Here is a 15415-nt window from a genome sequence, read left to right as displayed (position 1 = left end):
ACGCAGAAAACCTCTTCACAAGGGTAGAAAAGAAAGAAAACAGTGTTATTATTGAATAAGCATTAAACCGGAATGTGATACACTGGTGATCCACTAAAGAGACTGCAAAGAGACAAAAATCTTACTCTTTTATGTAGCAAAGTGAATACAACTTACTGTATCCATTTTCTCAAGATAAACAATAACTGGTCCTCAAGCAAGAGGACTTGGCTGCACCTCACTCTAAATTTACCTGGTAAGTGGGAAGCCACCTGTGTCTGCTAATTGCCTTTATCCAAAGGAAAAATCGATTTCCCCTATCTTTATAACAAAGGGTAGGTTGCAACTAAGAGCTAGGCACCAACTGAAGTTAGGCTCCTACCCTCCCACAGGAACTGAGAGAGAGCACTATCTTCCTTAATTATTACATTTCAAAGGGTTGGCCCCCAGGTCCTTGAGAAAAACATTCCGGGGTTGTAAAACTGGCAAGAGGTTTATTTACCTTTTAAGAAGATTTACATTCATCGCAAAGCAGTAGAGAAAGTATTCACAATTACAAGTTTTCTAAAGTAAATGCTCTCAGAAAAGTGAGGGGAAGGAGTCTTTTCCCTTTTTGCGCCAGGGAAAATTAAATTTTCTTTTTCTTCTAATTTGTATCCACCCTTACACCACTCATTTCACAAATAACGTCACCGTAAAGATTTACTAAATGCTCACTATATACCAGGTGGTCTGCATACAACTCAGTTAATCCTCTCAACAACCTAAAAGAGAGATATTGTTATTACTATCCCTACAGGGCCCACATAGGTTAAGTGACTTGCCCACAAGATCACATGTTGAGTAAATGGCTGAGTTAGGATTCCAGACCAGGACTGTGCGATTCCAAACTCAGCGACTTTAGTCTCCAGGCTACGAGGCTGCCAGAGACATGGCTGAAACCCAGTAGTAGTTCTTACACGGTCCCATCCTTGTCTAAGGGAGGGGTGAGGTGGGGTGGAGAGGGGATTGGGTTGGGGGTAGAAGGCTACCGCAGGCGCCATGGACCTCCCAAAATAACCCTGGCCCGAGGGCCAGGAATGAGATTAAGGACGGAACGCATGCCCTCCAAAAAGTGGCATTTTAGAATTTATACAGCACCCCAGCACGCTGCTAAACGTGGGCACACAACCACCACGGCCCGATCACGCGCAGCGGGAACCCGGTCTCTGAGCTCCGCCCCGTGCGTTGCGTCATCAGAGTCACGCCACCTAATCCATTCTCTCGGTCTTCGTCTGCTCCGGTATTGCAACTGCCTCGATTGGTCGATCCTGGGCCAGCATGGCGGCGCCCATGTAACCCGGTCCGTGCCGCAAAGCGAACGGCGGCCGCGGCGCGGGCCCCGCGGGGGTTAGAGGTCACCATGCTGAGGGTCGCGTGGAGGACGCTGAGTTTGATTCGGACCCGGGCAGTTACCCAGGTCCTAGTACCCGGGCTGCCGGGCGGTGGGAGCGCCAAGTTTCCTTTCAACCAGTGGGGCCTGCAGCCTCGAAGTGAGGAGCTGAGAAATGGGACGGCGGGCGTAGGGAAACAGGGTTCGGCGAAGATAGGGAATAAGGAAGCACAGGAGTAGGGGAGATATACAGCGGTCAGGATAAGGGGGAAAGGGCGGTGGTTGCGCAAGAGGTGAAACAAGATGTGAGAGACAAGGGGTAGGGAAGAAATGGGGCAGCGGTTAGGTTCAGAAGCGCATAGACCGTGGCGGACGGGCAATGCGAGGGGCACAGAAAGGAACTGAGGGGTGGGCTATTTAAGGAGATGGTCCTCAGCCCTCTCTTTTCTGCGTAGGTCTCCTCCTCCAGGCCGCGCGCGGATATGTCGTCCGGAAACCAGGTAGGAGTTCCTAAGGTGGGACTTGGGGCGGAAGAGAGACCTCCTGGAAGGCTGGGGTGGGTAAGGGGACCGATGTGGCGAATTAGAGCCACTAGATGAGGTGAGCCAGAGGTCCTGAGCAAAAGACCCCACGTCCACCTTACACAAAGCCCTAGGCCTGCAGCCTGTATGGGGACAGAGGGGTGTGAAGGGCGGGAGCAGGAGCTTTCCAGGTGAATGAGTGAAAATGAGCTTCCCAGAGGGAGTGCATGGCTGGCACCACCCAGGCCTACCTAGAGTATGGCACTTTGTGTCTGCGCTTCTGAGATGCAGGATGTAATTTCCCATTGCAACTCAGTATGCATAGTAGTTAAGATCCTTCTTATTAGGTAAATGATATGGGGCAAGGTACTTCCTCTCTCTGATTCTTATTTCTAAAATGAGTGTGAAAGTATCCATTTGCAAGGATTGTTAGGATTCAGCGATAATACACGAAAAGCACCCTTAACGCTGTGCTCAATTAAATATATTGATAGTATATATTAGAATTTATTATCTGGGGCCGGACGCGGTGGCTTACGCCTGTAATCCCAACACTTTGGGAGGCCAAGGTGGGCAGATCACTTGAGTTCAGGAGTTCGAGACCAGCCTGGCCAACATGGTGAAACCTCGTCTCTACTAAAAATACAGAAAAAAATTAGCCAGGTGTGGTAGCGCGCGCCTGTAATCCCAGCTACTCAGGAGGCTGAGGCAGGAGAATCGCTTGAACCTGGGAGGTGGAGGTTGCAGTGAGCCGATCGTGCCACTGCACTCCAGCCTGGGTGACAGAGCGAGACTCCATCTCAAAAAAACAAAAAAGAAAGAAATTATTGGCTGGACATGGCCCCAACATTTTGGGAGGCCAAGGCTGGAGGATCACTTGAGGCCAGGAGTTCAAGACCAGCCTGGGCAACATAGCAAGACCCAGTCTCTACAAAAAATAAAATAAGTAGAATTTATTGCTATTAATATATTTTTAATATAATTCTTTTCTGCCTCCCTATCAGAATCAACTTGAGCTGTTACAGACAGAAGAGGCCCATTAATGTTATTTGCATAGCAGGGTCTGACTGGAGAGGATAAGTCCATCTACTCTATGCCTCTTCCTCATCTCCAAGGGATAGCAGGGGTGCACACACCAAGACTGAGGTTTTCCTGTGATCTCTACTTGGTGCTTACATTTCAGGCATCGTACAGCTAGCTGCCTTTCCTCAACCCCCTTAATTCATACATGCAGTCAGCCAGCAAGTGTTTGTTGAGTGCCTAGTCTAGGCTGAGCCATGGGCCAGACTATGGTGGATTCCAAGGGAGTCAAACTCTGTCCTATCCACAGGAGGACCCATCCTAGTGGGGGATCTGAGAACTGTAGAGCCAGATAGGTGTGTGAAAGGTGCAGGCACAGTGTAGGGTCTTGGGAAAAGCCACCTACTCGCAACATGAAATATCAAAGCAGGTGCCCACGGAGTTTGCAAAGGAGAAACTGAGCCGAGAGATATCCAGTGCTTTGCTTGAGACCCTGAATGTCCCTTCTGGAGTTGGAGAGTGGGTGAAAAGAGCCAGGTCTGGGAGGGTGGGCAGCGAGAGTTGACTCTGGGTGTTTTCTATCCCCATATTTACTTGACAGCCCAGTCTAGGCTGGATGATGACCCACCTCCCTCTACGCTGCTCAAAGACTACCAGAATGTCCCTGGAATTGAGAAGTAAGCAGGAAGAAACCTAGTAGAGGAGGCAGGGGGCCCTGGGAGGATTGTCGGGGAGTGGGGAAAGACAGTGGCTTTGAGACTTGGCTTGCTGTAGCTGAAGCTTGATCTAGAAGGAGGCAGGGGCCCAGGTGTCCAGGTGTGGTGAGGGTGGGTGGTCAGCAAGGCAGATGGCACTCATGGAGCTCGGCTACTTGGGGGTTTTTTTGTACTCTAGATGAACACCCTGTACCACTAGATTCCAAGGAGCTAACATACTTCACAGGTCTTTGTAGAAATCTCTCATCTCTTGTTCCTCACAAAAGCTGTATGTCCCCATTTTATAGATTTTCAAGCTGTCCAGTGTCATACAGTTCTAAAGGGCAGAGCTAGAGTTTGAATCCAGGGCTGACTGACACCAAAGCCAGAGGCCCTCTGCTCAGCTCCTATGCAGTGTGGTGGGAGCTGGTCAGTCCCTCCCACTGTGCAATTTAACTTGAAATGTCTCAAAACAGATTGAACCATGTTGTAGCTAAAATGGAAATCCTCTCCTTGCCCTCCCTGTGATGAGACCGGAACAGTCGAGCTGACAGCCCCAGTTTCTGTAGTTTCAGCCCAGCAAGCCAGATCCACACTGACTTTTAATCCCTGGGAAATGGCTCCCCACCTCCAGGGAGATTCATTTGCTACAGAAGGAATTTTTCAATCATCTTTGCTTTTCAAACTAAAATGAAACCAGCATTGCTTTCCTCTCTTCTCCCCCAATGTCTGTCTCATTGCTGTGGTTTATCCACAGGGTTGATGATGTCGTGAAAAGACTCTTGTCTTTGGAAATGGCCAACAAGGTGAGCAGCCTCTGCCAAGCCTCAGCCTCCCGCAGTCTTCTCCTCTGGGACTCCCTTCTACCCTGATTAGCACCCCGCATCTCATGCTTCTCCAGTCACAGCACTTAGCCCACTGTCATTCTGCCTCCATTTGTCAATATCCCTAGACAGAGCATCTTCAGGGCAGGGACACTTTTGTTCCCCCACCATACCCCTAGCACCTGACAAACAGGTGCTCAGTGAATGAATGAATGAGCATAAATGAATGAGCAAGCTTTGGGGACATTCATGCAACAAGTCATTTCCTCTGTCAGTGGCTTTGGCTTTGGGCTCACCTGGATGTGGATAGCCATGTGGTTGGTCAAGGCCACAGTGAGCAGAGTGAAGTCAGGCCCTGAGCCTTATGGCCCTAGTTGCTATAACTGTAGCCAGGGCCCTTGGGGGGAGGAGGGCTAGTTCTTAGAGGGTGGCAGACTCCACAGATTTTCTCTGTCTCTGTCTTCAACAGAAGGAGATGCTAAAAATCAAGCAAGAACAGTTTATGAAGAAGATTGTTGCAAACCCAGAGGACACCAGATCCCTGGAGGCTCGAAGTTGGTCGGGGACCCTTGGGGAGTGGGGGTGTAGGGAAGCCTGCTAGCTGGGACCTGATCTAGGGCTCTTGTCTACAAGCACATGCACATGGGCTGGGGAAAGGGAGAGACATGAAGGACCTAGGGCAATGAAAATTGGACCCTGTATCCCAAGCTCTGATGCTGGAGTCAACACCCAGTTGGACCTTGTACCACTGTGTGAGCTTGGGTAAGTCACCAACCCTCTCTTGGAGCCCCTGCTTCCTCATCTGGAAATGGGGGAATAAGGGAGAGCAGAGCAGAGGTAATGTTACCCACCTCATGGCAGCATTGTGAGAGGCAGCTAGGGGATGTAAACACACCTTGGAAACTAAAGCTCACGATGTGTGATAATAATAGTAAGACTAGGCCAGGCGCGGTGGCTCACGCCTGTAATCCCAGCACTTTGGGAGGCCAAGCAGGTGGATCACAAGGTCAGGAGATCAAGACCATCCTGGCTAACACGGTGAAACCCCGTCTCTACTAAAAATACAAAAAATTAGCCGGGCATGGTGGCGGGCGCCTGTAGTCCTAGCTACTGGGGCTGAGGCAGGAGAATGGCGTGAACCTGGGAGGCGGAGCTTGCAGTGAGCCGAGATCGCGCCACTGCACTCTCGCCTGGGCAACAGAGCGAGACTCCGTCTCGAAAATAAAAAAATAAGACCAACATTTTGAACCCTCTTGTGCCAGACAGACACCATGGTGCATTCCCAAGGGAATAATGTTGCTACTTTGGTTCAGGCTAGAACTGGCAGTAGTCCTCATTAGATGTGAGTGAAAAGCACCACCATTTCCCCCTCTCTCTGGGTGCAGTTTCTCTTCATTGCCCACTGAGAGCAAGTGAGGTAGACTAGTGGACCTGCAGAGGATCTGCACACTTTCTCTCCTTTGCCATTGGCCTATATTATAGCCTCCTCCTCCTCTTCCACCCTCCTGCCTTCATTCTTCTCCCTTCATTCTTTTCTTCTCCCTCTGCCAGGGATTAAAGTCTGGTGAGTTCATCTTGGATACTAAAACCCCATTGAGAACTGGACTCAAGGGTCCTCCATAGCCTCTTTTGAGAAGATGAGTTTCAGCTTCCCTTGCCCTGCTAAAGCCCTGGGCTAGGGACCAGCTCAGCCACAAAAGGCCTGCTTATCTTTCCTCACCTGTTTCTGCATTATCACTACTGAAATCCCCAGGTTGGCAGGAACAAATGGCCTGGACTGGCAAGGTGGTTACTGGGGTCGTCTTTAAGCACAAGTTTTGATTCTTTTTTTTTTTTTTTTTTTTTGAGACCGGATCTCACTCTGTCACTCAGGCTGGAATGCAGTCAGTGGCAGGTGTGATCATGGCTCACTACAGCGCAACTTCTGGGGCTCCAGCAATTCTCCTACCTCAGGCTCCCAAGTAGCTGGGACCAAAGGCATGCACAACCATGTCAAGCTAATTTTTGTGTTTTTGGTAGAGACAGGATTTTGTCATATTGCCCAGGCTGATCTCGAACTCCTGAGCTCAAGTAATTCACCTGCCTCAGCCTCCCAAAGTGCTGGGATTACAGGCATGAGTCACCACGCCCAGCCCACAGATGTCACTTCTGCCTTTCCATTATTACTCAGTTTTCTGAATGCCAGTTGCTTCTAGCATAGTGCCTGCTCTAGAGAACCCCTCAGGAACCAAGGCCTATCTTTCTGTGTTGTTCCACTCTACACCTAAGTTGCTGTGATGGAGCCATGTGGTCGGGGTCAGGGTTCCCACTGCACTTTCTGCAGTGCTCCCAGAACTCAGTATGTACTGGGAAGGGCCTGCTGTCGTGACAGCCTCTCTTTGGGGCCAGCTTCTGCTTTTGCCCCCATCTTTGCAGTACAGGGGGTAAATTAAACAAGAGGATGCCTGAATGAACGATATCCTGGGTTCTTGAGAGACAAGTGGGAGCTGATAATTCTGAAAATTCATTAGTCAAAGCATGGAGATAAAGGTGGCAGCAGGAAGGGGAGAGGCAAGGAGTAGACCCGTGACAGTTTTAGAATCTTATTTGTGCCAAAATACTTTACTGCATTGGCTTGGACCTCTAATACAATGTTGAATTGTTAACCATGATAGCACTGTATCCTGGTCTAATTCCTGAATTGAATGGCTAGTCTTACCATTAAGAATGCTATTTGCGGCCAGGCACGGTGGCTCACACCTGTAACCCCACCACTTTGGGAGGCCAAGGCAGGTGGATCACTTGAGGTCAGGAGTTTGAGACCAGCCTGGCCAACATGGTGAAACCCCGTCTCTACTAAAAATAGAAAAATTAGCCGTGTGTGGTGGCGGGCGCCTGTAATCCCAGCTGCTCTGGAGTCTGAGGCAAGAGAATCACCTGAACCTGGGAGGCAGAGGCTGCGGTGAGCCGAGATCGCACCACTGCACTCCAGCCTGGGCAACAGAGCGAGACTCCGTCTCAAAAAAAAGAATGCTATTTGCTATGATTTTTGGATGATATCTTTATAATATTAAGGGATGTCCCTTCCTTGGATTTTGCTTTTTAAGGGAAGGTAATGTCTAAGATAAGCCTTTGAAATCTTGAAATTCAGAGTGATTTGGGATTTATAGAGAGCTGTACAGAGCATTGGTGATTGTTATTCCTTGAGTTCTTAAAACGTAAACCAGGCCTGGGCCCTTCCTTCCTCTGTGCCCAACTCTCATCCTCTGTGGTTTGTGGTTTCAGTTATTGCCTTGTCTGTCAAGATCCGCAGTTATGAAGAACACTTGGAGAAACATCGAAAGGTAAACTCTGGACGTCATTCACAGTTAAACAGCAGCAGCCTGGGGGAAAGGGGTCCGGAGGGGAAGGGCTCTGGGTCCAGAGAAGGAGGCTTAGAAGCCACTGAAAATGCTTCCCTCCTGCCTCCAGAGGACTTGGAGCCTTACAAGGCCATGCTGAGTGTCACCAGGGGTTAAGAACACAAACTTGAGAGCATGATCACTGTGTCTGGCACATGCTGAGTGCTCAGTAAATATTTGTTGAATGCATGAATGGAGTCAGATTGCCCTGGGTTCAAATCCGAGCTCTGCCACTTCCACTTAAGTAGCTGTGTGATATTAGGGAAGTACAGGTCTCAGCCTCAGTTTTCTTTTCAATAAGATGGAGATCATACAAATACTTGCTCACAGGATTGCAAGGATTATGTGAAATAATAATAACAGCCAATGTGATGCATATAAAGTCTTTAGGCCCTGTGCTAAGTACTTCACATGCATCTTCTTATTTGACTCTCATGACTTTTTTTTCCCATCTTAACGAGGAATAATCTAGTCATGGAATGATTAAGTTATTCCTTAAGGCATAGCACTGGGAAGTGATGTACTGAGACCTTGAAACAAGGCAGTCTTGCTCCAAGACCCATATATATATATATTTTTTTTTTTTTTTTGAGATGGAGCCTTGCTCTGTCACCCAGGCTGGAGTGCAGAGGTGCGATCTCGGCTCACTGCAGGCTCCGCCTCCCAGGTTCAAGCAACTCTCCTGCCTCAGCCTCCTGAGTAGCTGGGACTACAGGCGCATGCCACCACACCCAGCTAATTTTTTGTATTTTTAGTAGAGACAGGGTTTCACCGTGTTAGCCAGGATGATCCCAATCTCCTGACCTCGTGATCTCCCCACCTCGGCCTCCTAAAGTGCTGAGATTACAGGTGTGAGCCACCATGGCCAGCCATATTCTTAACCATTATACCATATCTCAGCACAGTGTCTGGCACAGAGCTGCTGTAATTAGGCAAATGCTGTTATTTTTAATAAACAAATGATTGTGAATACAGACTGGTCCAGCACCATGCCTGGCACCTCAGTGTTCCCTGGAGCCTGCTTCTTAAAGATCACAGTTTTGCTTATTTGAGGTGTGGGACAGCAGCCCTACTGCAGAGGTCCTTCACAGGGCAGCAGCCAGCTGTGGGTAGGCATTTCCAGGAAGAGCACAAGGCCTTCCTTCCTCTCTACCCCAGCTGACAGTTTGCTAAGCTATGGAGAGTCTGAGTGGGTAGTGTAGGAGAAAGAGCATGAGGTTTGAAGTCAGACCAATAGATAGAGATTCAAGACCCTATCTCAGCACTCACAGTTCTAAAGACCTTTTGTGAATCAGATAACATCTTTAAACCTTTGTTTTCTCATCTGTAAAATGGGAATAACAATGATAATACCTCCTTCAGAATTGCATTAATATTTGCATAAGATTACTGAGAAATTTCAGTGAAATGATAAAATGACCATTGTTTGTTACTGTGAACAACAGTAACACTTATATAATACTAAAAGTAATGAGAATCTCTTGCAGGACAAAGCCCACAAACGCTATCTGCTAATGAGCATTGACCAGAGGAAAAAGATGCTCAAAAACCTCCGTAACACCAACTATGATGTCTTTGAGAAGATATGCTGGGGGCTGGGAATTGAGTACACCTTCCCCCCTCTGTATTACCGAAGAGCCCACCGCCGATTCGTGACCAAGAAGGCTCTGTGCATTCGGGTACGAGTCAGAATTGCGGCTTTGCTTGGCCCCACTCAGGGACTGGGATGGAGGAAGCAGAAGGGAGGGATCATCTGTTTCTGTTAGAGGCATGGAACTGGCCCCAGGCCCTGGAATGGATCCAGGGAGGTCACAGGCCACCAACCCCATGGAGAAAGGCTGGGGTTACCATCTGGGGGAAATAGTTCCCATCCCACTTGTTCCAAGTCTGAGGTTTTGCACAGGATTACAAGGTCTTTTTCTGCCCCTTTTCATCCCCAGGTTTTCCAGGAGACTCAAAAGCTGAAGAAGCGAAGAAGAGCCTTAAAGGCTGCAGCAGCAGCCCAAAAACAAGCAAAGCGGAGGAACCCAGACAGCCCTGCCAAAGCCATACCAAAGACACTCAAAGACAGCCAATAAATTCTGTTCAATCATTTCTTTCTGTCTTGAAGAATGATAGGAGAGATGATGGGGCTCTTTTTGGCCTGAAGAGGAGAAGGAATTTATTCTTTCATTCAGCTCTGAGATCCCAGAGTTTTCTGAGGCAGAGTCCCTGCCTCACCCACCAGAGGATACACACTTATGACATGCCTCCCACACACTCATACAAACAAGTACCTGTCATCCAGGTGATGTGTGTCAGTGGAGGCAAGACAGAGCATGTGACAGCACAGTGGAAGTGTGGCCGGCTGGGTAGGAAGAACTGCTGTAGGAGCTGCCTTCTGGACTGGGTCCTAAAGGATGAGTAGGAATTCACTATATAGAGACAGGAAGGGAAGGCCTCCTGGGCAGAAGGGATTGCAAGTACAAAGGCAAGGAAGTCTAGAGAGGCATGCTGTATTCAGAGAACGGGGAGAATGAGAAATAAAGCTTGAAAGGTAAGCTGAAGCTGAAGTGTGAGAAGCTTTATATGCTAGGCTGAGAAGATTGTACACTGTCCACTAGGGAGTGGGGAGACAGTTCAAGTTTTAAAACTGAAGGAGTGATGGCAATTAACAGGTCTGTGTTTTAGATAGTTAAGCAACAGCTGTGTGGATGGTAGATGGGAGGAGGAGAGATCAGAGCAGTGTACTGGGGCTGGAGGATATCAGTGTTCACGTAGAGAATCTGATCAAAACTACAAGTCCTATCCCCAGGAAGCATATGCAAAAGCATTGCTTATAAATTCTAGGGAGTTATGGATCCCCGTTCCCCATAAAGCCCATCCATTTACACCAAGTTAAGTGCCAACACCTTGAAGCCTGAGCATGCTTGGTATGTTTGAAGAACCCAAGGAAGACAATGTGTCTAAAACAGAACAAAGAGAATAGTAAGAAGACAAGGTCAGAGGGGTAGGCAAATACCAGGTGATGTAGAGCTTTCTGGGTGTCTCAGCCTGCCATAACAAAATACCATAGATTAGGTGACTTCACAGGATTTTTATTTTGAGTTCGTTTTTTCACAGTTCTGGAGGCTGGGGATTCCAAGATCAGAGTACCAGCCAATTCAGTTTCAGGTGAGGACTCTTCCTAGCTTGGAAAAGCCACCTTCTCAATGTCATCACATGGCCTTTCCCTTGGTCCATGCAGTGGGGAGAGCTCACTCTTACAAGGCCACTAATCCCATCATGAGGGCCGTACTCACGACCTTATGTAACCCTAGTTAACTCTGAGAAGCCCCATCTCTAAATACTGTAACATTGGAGTTAGGGCTTCGACATATGAATTTGGTCGGGGACACATTCGGCCCATAACACTGGAGAAATACACTGGACTTCACTCTGGGAAGGGAAGCCACTGAGGAAAGCCAAAAAGGGAGAAAGGTGTGCTAAAGTGCTATCCAAAGAGCAGTTGGAAGTTTAGATCTAGGACTCAGTAGAGAGGTCTGGACTAGAGAGGTTTGCGAGTTGTTGGGTGATTGAGCCCATGGGCATAAGTGAAACTGCCCAGGGATGGAGTGTATAAGAAAAAAGGACCATGTCTGGATGGGAAGGATGATCCCTGAGAGCTTAGCCTAAGTCAGAAGGAGCAGCTGAGCTGGAGGAGAAGGTGAAGTAGGGGTAGAACAGAGCCTGGGTGTCTGCAGAAGCAGAAATGAGAGGCTCAGAACTGAAGATCCACTATTCAGATATCACTTCCAGGAATTGTAGGGAAGGCCTTTAATGGGCCAGGACTTCCAAGTGGCCACGGCTACTTAGAGGTAGTGTGTCAGAGGGCCAGGTACTAACAGTTAAGGGGGCTAGCCAAGGGGAAGGAAAGAAAAAGGAACACATTTTAATGGATCAGGCCCTACTGCAAAGGCATTTGTGTGTTTTTCGTTGGTTGGTTGGTTGGTTTGGCTGGTTGTTTTTTTAGAGACAGGATCTTGCTCTGTTGCCCCAACTGGAGTGCAGTAGCCTGATCATAATTCACTAACTTCAAATTCTTGGGCTCAAGCAATCCTCTTGCCTCTGCCTCCTAAGTAGCTAGGACTATAAGTGTAAGCCACTGCGCTTAGCTAATTTTTTTATTTTTTGTAGAGAGGGTCTCACTATGTTGCCCAGGTTACTCAAACTCTTGGCCTCAAGCAATCCTTGCCCTCCCAAATGCCTTGGTTTCCCAGAGTGCTGGGATTACAGGCGCGAGCAACTGCATCCGGTCAAAAGGCATTGTTTTAACTGCTTCCTTAGGCACATTATCTAATATTCACAGCCACCTTTACTCTGCACATTGGCTAATTATCCTCATTTTAGCCATGAGAGATGAGAGAGTCATGAGAGAACTGAGACTCAGAGAGGTTAGGTAACTTGTCCAAATTCATATAGCTGGGAAGAGAAAGGTCTAGGATTCAAAGCTGGCTCTGTCTTGACTCCAGAGCCTATGTCCTGTTCACTATACCACACTGCTTAGGGACCAAGAAAAAGGTCTGAGAAGCTAAGGGAAGAGTACACTACAGCAAACTCAAATGCTTTTGGGAGCAAGGCAGGTAACAAAAATGCATGAAGGCCTAACATGAAGTAATGATGCTAAGGTGTTTATTACATTCCTATCCTAGTTGTATTCCCTCTTATTTATTTATTTTAATTTTTTTGAGACAGAGTTTTTGCTCTGTCCCCCAGGCTAGAGTGCAGTGGTGTGATCTTGGCTCACTGCAACCTCCCCGTCCCAGGTTCAAGCGATTCTCCTGCCTCAGCGTCCACAGTAGCTGGGATTACAGGTGTGTGCCACCACACCCAGCGAAGTAGAGATGGGGTTTCACCATGTTGGCCAGGCTGGTGTTGAACTCCTGTCTTGAACTCCTGACCTCAAGTGATCTGCTGGCCTTGGCCTCCCAAAGTGCAGGGATTACAGGTGTGAGCCACTGCGCCTGGCCTGTATTCCCTTTTAAAACAGAGCACAGAGCAGGCAAAATAACCAAATTAAACAAAGCCTTGGGCTGCCAGCCATGGGATACTGTATAGTCCTGATGCTGAGATATCAGTTAAGGGAAGGACCAAAAAGTATTCATGGTGAAGCAGTTTCAGTGGGGTTCAGGGAGCATAATACCAGTTGCAATGAGGTGGGGAGTGAGGATGTTAAGGAGGTTCCAGTTGTGAGTGTTGTCAACTCGTTCAAAACACTTCACTGGGAAGGAAAGGAAGGAAAACAGACTAGCAGGGATGGAAGGAGAATGTTAATATGGGAAGGACTTGGGCTCAGTTATGGCAGGACAAGACTTTTCAGTGGTGTGGTAATGAGGAAGAGGCAGCCTGCTGACAAGTTCAACTGGACTGGGGGAGAGGAGGTGGCCAGGTGCAGGAGATGGCTTTAAAAAGGTAGTTGGCCGGGTATGGTGGCTCTCACCTGAAATCCCAACAACTAAGGAGTCTGAGGTGGAAGAATCACTTGAGGCTAGGAGTTCTAGGCTGCAGTGAGCCACCAGGGTGCCACTGCATTCCAACCTTGGGCAACAAAGTAAGACCCCTATCTCTTTAAAAAAAAAAAAAAAAAAAAGGTAGCTGGAGCCTGTGGAGAGCCTGGAATGCCATGCCAAGGCATCTAGACTGTGATCTGGCAAAGAGTAGGAAACCACTGAAGGGATGTGTCATGTTGACAGTGATGCTGGCCGGGCGCAGTGGCTCATGCCTGTAATCCCAACACTTTGGGAGGCCGAGGCGGGCAGATCACCTGAGGTCAGGAGTTCGAGACCAGCCTGGCCAACATGGTGAAACCCCATCTCTACTAAAAATACAAAATTAGCCGGGCATGGTGCCCTGGTCCATGCCTGTAATCCCAGCTTACTCAGGAGGCTGAGGCAGAAGAATCGCTTGAAACCAGGAGGCGGAGGTTGCAGTAAGCCGAGATCGTGCCATTGCACACCAGCCTGCGCGACAAGAGTGAAACTCCATCTCAAAAAAAAAAAAGTGATGTCTTCTGACATTTAGCTTAGCAGCCAGTGCAAGGTAGAAGAGAGAAAAGAACAGTGATACAGAGGAACATAGCAATGCAGACAGAAAAACAAATGAAGGGATGAATGTAAGAAAGGTGTTGGAGGAAAAAGCATAATATGATGACTGATAAAAGACCCTGGGAAACAGATTTGGAAGCCAAGGCCCAAGTTTCAAGTTTGAGTAGCTGGAGGGAAAGATAATTAGTAGGTTTTGGAAGTACTGAAATTTACAGAAATGGTTGTTCATCAGAGTAAAAATATACAGCAGATGGCAAAAAGTAATCCTGGAGCTTAAGATGGAGGTAAGGAAGGGAGTCGCTGCCCTCAAAGAGAAATGGTTGGGGCCGGGCGTGATAGCTCACGCCTGTAATCTCAGCACTTTGGGAGGCCCAGGCGGGCAGATCACCTGAGGTCAGGAGTTCCAGACCAGCCTGGCCAACATGGTGAAACCCCGTCTCTACTAAAAATACAAAAATTAGCCGGGCATGGTGGCGGGCGCCTGTAATCCCAGCTACTCGGGAGGCTGAGGCAGGAGAATCGCTTGAACCCTGAAGGCGGAAGTTGCAATGAGCCGAGATGGCGCCACTGCACTCCAGCCTGAGCGACAAGGGCAAAATCCGTCTCAAAAAAAAAAAAAAAAGAAAAAAGAAATGGTTGGGAGGCCTTCGGAACAGCGTCGAGGAGGGAACTTCCCAGAGCCCCCAGGCGCATCCTCTGGGAACTGGACACACGGGGACGGACGGGACTGGTTTGCTTCATGGAGTATGAAACCAGGAGGGGCTTCACTTCAAGTAAACTTTTGGGAGGCGATGCAAACGACTCAGGACTTCTGATCCTTCCCTCGTCTAAAAGAAAAGTCAGTTACCATTTTTATTGAGTGCTTTCGGGGCCTTTCCATGATCTGACTGATTCCTCTCAGCCGCCCTGTGATGTGAGTGCCAGCTCCATGTTACGTAAGAGGAAGCCAAGGCTCAAACCCTGCCCGAAGTCACACAGCAAGAAATCACGAGCCGTGATTCCAACCCAGGTCCGTCTGACCCGAGCCTGCTCTAATGCCGTTCTGCCTGGGCTTTCCTCTGTTATAGGAACCTGAGGCCCCGCGCCAGCGGCCGGGGTCCCAAGCGCCGGGCTGGCTGTGTCGAGACCACCCCCAGCCCTGGCCCGGCCCTCGCCCTTTCGAGGGAAACCTACTCTCAGAAGCACAGCTCCCCAGCCGCGCCCAACGCCGCGCCGGCCTCTGGCTCGGACCAATCCCCCCGGGACGGTCCACCACCCAGACCAATTAGCTCCCGTCTTCAGGGCACCTCCCACCAAACCGCCTTCTGATTGGCTCGCTCTTCCCGTCACGGCGTTGCCCCAGCAACCGGACTATTGGGACGCTGCGGCCTGGCCTTCAGGCCACTGGCTACCGAACCCCGGGGCTCTTCACCAGTCCAGCTCGTTTCCAGCACCATGTCGGTGCGGACGCTACCGCTGCTCTTCTTGAACTTGGGCGGGGAGATGCTTTACATCCTCGACCAACGGCTGCGGGCCCAGAACATCCCGGGAGACAAGGCCCGCAAAGGTGAGAGGCCCCCGGC

General features: G+C 49.1%; 2 protein-coding genes across 10 annotated transcripts in view, besides 6 other annotated features; both read left to right on the top strand.

The window, feature by feature from the left end:
- Positions 460 to 1361: an enhancer, noted in NCBI's record as "H3K27ac hESC enhancer chr1:36929897-36930798 (GRCh37/hg19 assembly coordinates)". NCBI's record gives its function as "activates a minimal SCP1, AML or CMV promoter by ChIP-STARR-seq in naive H9 embryonic stem cells {active_cell/tissue: H9 hESC(naive)}" and the evidence as "EXISTENCE:reporter gene assay evidence [ECO:0000049][PMID:30033119]".
- Positions 460 to 2265: a biological region, named in NCBI's record as "CDK7 strongly-dependent group 2 enhancer GRCh37_chr1:36929292-36930491".
- Positions 767 to 1966: an enhancer, noted in NCBI's record as "CDK7 strongly-dependent group 2 enhancer chr1:36929292-36930491 (GRCh37/hg19 assembly coordinates)". NCBI's record gives its function as "activates an origin of replication core promoter dependent on BRD2, BRD4, P300/CBP, MED14 and CDK7 cofactors, with strong dependence on CDK7, by STARR-seq in HCT116 cells {active_cell/tissue: HCT116}" and the evidence as "EXISTENCE:reporter gene assay evidence [ECO:0000049][PMID:35650434]".
- Positions 1118 to 1367: an enhancer, noted in NCBI's record as "active region_755". NCBI's record gives its function as "activates an Ori minimal core promoter by ATAC-STARR-seq in GM12878 lymphoblastoid cells {active_cell/tissue: GM12878}" and the evidence as "EXISTENCE:reporter gene assay evidence [ECO:0000049][PMID:35858748]".
- On the top strand, positions 1273 to 9939 carry MRPS15 (mitochondrial ribosomal protein S15). Its single transcript, NM_031280.4, has 8 exons — positions 1273 to 1511; positions 1807 to 1851; positions 3494 to 3569; positions 4345 to 4393; positions 4881 to 4965; positions 7676 to 7734; positions 9279 to 9470; positions 9732 to 9939. The coding sequence occupies exons 1-8, from the start codon at positions 1382 to 1384 to the stop codon at positions 9867 to 9869; spliced, it is 774 nt and encodes a 257-aa protein (NP_112570.2). The 5' UTR covers positions 1273 to 1381; the 3' UTR covers positions 9870 to 9939.
- Positions 1362 to 2265: an enhancer, noted in NCBI's record as "H3K27ac hESC enhancer chr1:36928993-36929896 (GRCh37/hg19 assembly coordinates)". NCBI's record gives its function as "activates a minimal SCP1, AML or CMV promoter by ChIP-STARR-seq in naive H9 embryonic stem cells {active_cell/tissue: H9 hESC(naive)}" and the evidence as "EXISTENCE:reporter gene assay evidence [ECO:0000049][PMID:30033119]".
- Positions 14811 to 15080: a silencer, noted in NCBI's record as "silent region_669". NCBI's record gives its function as "represses an Ori minimal core promoter by ATAC-STARR-seq in GM12878 lymphoblastoid cells {active_cell/tissue: GM12878}" and the evidence as "EXISTENCE:reporter gene assay evidence [ECO:0000049][PMID:35858748]".
- Positions 15206 to 15415, top strand: part of OSCP1 (organic solute carrier partner 1) — a 32546-nt gene continuing 32336 nt past the window's right edge. For all 9 annotated transcript variants that reach the window (NM_145047.5, XM_005270462.2, NM_001330493.2 and 6 more), the window contains exon 1: positions 15206 to 15399. In NM_145047.5, the coding sequence (NP_659484.4) occupies positions 15288 to 15399 (112 nt within the window). In that variant the 5' untranslated portion in view covers positions 15206 to 15287. The remainder of the gene's footprint in view (positions 15400 to 15415) is intronic.

This window comes from Homo sapiens, chromosome 1 (assembly GCF_000001405.40).
Source record: "Homo sapiens chromosome 1, GRCh38.p14 Primary Assembly".
Lineage (NCBI taxonomy): Eukaryota > Metazoa > Chordata > Mammalia > Primates > Hominidae > Homo > Homo sapiens.
The sequence above is the reverse complement of the archived record's forward strand: the minus strand, read 5'-3'. Positions and strand labels throughout refer to the sequence as shown.

Coding starts and splice junctions, on each gene's coding strand:
- MRPS15 (NM_031280.4), top strand. CDS start 1,382: ATGCTGAGGGTCGCGTGGAGGACGCTGAGTTTGATTCGGACCCGGGCA. Junction 3,570..4,344: donor AATGTCCCTGGAATTGAGAA/GTAAGCAGGAAG, acceptor GTTTATCCACAG/GGTTGATGATGTCGTGAAAA. Junction 7,735..9,278: donor ACTTGGAGAAACATCGAAAG/GTAAACTCTGGA, acceptor AATCTCTTGCAG/GACAAAGCCCACAAACGCTA.